This window comes from Homo sapiens, chromosome 18 (assembly GCF_000001405.40).
Source record: "Homo sapiens chromosome 18, GRCh38.p14 Primary Assembly".
Lineage (NCBI taxonomy): Eukaryota > Metazoa > Chordata > Mammalia > Primates > Hominidae > Homo > Homo sapiens.
The window spans coordinates 39,183,411-39,185,242 of record NC_000018.10 but is presented as its reverse complement, the minus strand read 5'-3'; the positions used below and the strand labels follow the sequence as shown (position 1 = coordinate 39,185,242).

At 36.1% G+C, this 1,832-nt stretch overlaps 1 annotated feature.

Annotated features, from left to right (window-relative positions):
• Positions 416-1,444: an enhancer, noted in NCBI's record as "VISTA enhancer hs851". NCBI's record gives its function as "enhancer in: midbrain (mesencephalon)[4/6]" and the evidence as "EXISTENCE:transgenic organism evidence [ECO:0001131][PMID:17130149]".

Below are 1,832 nucleotides of genomic sequence, written 5' to 3'. Positions count from 1 at the left end.
CAGATCCACAAGAGTATAGAATCCCTTTCTACAGTAATACTAGAGAAAGTAACAGTTTTCCCAACAGTAGTTTAGAAGCCAATAAATTCAGCCCCACTAGTTATAAACTCCCAGGGACAGGGAGTATATCTTCTTTTTCTTCTGACATACTTAGTAGTGTATCTCAAAGGACAATAAACACACTATGAGAGATCAGAAAAAAAAAAAAAAAACAGAAACAGGATAGAGGGGGTTGAAAGGAACTACATTATTTCTAAAATGCATCCTCAATAGGGAAGTTACAGGAGGAAGAGGATACTCTCCATGCACCGTAATGGAGGTTTCTTTACCATTTTCCCCCTTTGTTCCACCACTAAGAGTCCAGTCAATGCTGGTTAAGTCAGTGGCTATGCTATTAATTAAATTCCTGTTTGCCATAAACCACTGGTGCCACAGATAGCACTGGGATGGAAAATGTATATAAATATATAATGGAAAAAAGAATCCTCTCTAAAATCTAAAATAATTAGTTAATATATTCTGATATATTTAATGAAATTTTATTTTCTTTTGGAATTGTAGCTAATATTTTAGAAAACTCAAATACTCAAGAATCAAAATTTTCCAAACAGCTGTTCACCCATATCTGGGTACATGAAGATACTATATTGCAAAAAATACAACTTTCTTGTATTTGTTAGAAAATGAAAAAAGGAATTATATGATATCCAGGATATGAGAGATTCCCAGAGAGATGTCCCTGTCCTTAATGAGAAATCACAGAGAAGGCTGCCATCGCTTGCCTGGACGCCTGGGCTTATCAGCAGGTCTCAGAGTTTAGGCTTCTGCGATATTGAGTGAAGATTATAAGCCAGATGGGCCACAAATTCTGTCAAGCCTTCTTGGCAGCTGTTCTCATTACAAAAGCCAGCCAGCCTTTTCCAAAAATAAGAATGTGAAGCAAATTGGGCTTATAGACCCTTATAATGCAATTGCACGCAGAGATAGGGGCCTGAGCGGGCAGGCAGAAATATTATTGATGGCTGGTGAAAACAGGGAATAAGATGTTATTAAGGCAACTCAGAGATAGATATCGATAGCTAATATAAAGCCTTTATTGGTTTACAGGCTCTAGGAAAAAGGGTTCATAGCTTCAACCCTTTACTTTGCTTTTAATTTCACTGGAGGTGCAAAGTTTATGAATAAAACATATCTTCACTCATGATTCTGATATTAGTCACTACTTTCTCTGTCCCTTGTTCACCAGGAGCAAGAAACATACATTAACAACATGAACCTTAGAGGCTTTTTCTGGGAAAGGGACTTCTATGTAAGTGTTGGAATGAGGAGGGACCATTTTCTAGAAACACTGAAACTCAAAAAAAAATAAATTGCATTTAACAGAAAATTTCCAGAACAAGATACTAAGGCATAATATAACACCCCAAATAACCTACATGATAAAACAGAAAGTAACTTTCATGACACAATATCTCAAACTGGGAGACTTCAGGAGGATCATCAAAGGTCCCCCATGTGTCATACTTCTAATGCTTAAAAAATCATGGTTCTGAAATGATATTGACTTGAGAATAGGGGATCGGATGGAAGAATTAATTATTAGTTTCTTCAGACTTCGCATATTACAAGTAAGACTGCTCCTTGGTTCCTATCTGCCAGGCATTACCATGATGGTGACAATTTTGTTCAGTTTCTTCCATTCTAATGGAAAATAATAGCTAAAATGCATATAAAACTAACTAAGCTAATCAACCATCCATTTGATGTGCTATTATGCAGTCACTGCATTTTCTTTCAAATTATTTATAAAATCAAGGGTGATGCAATCCAGT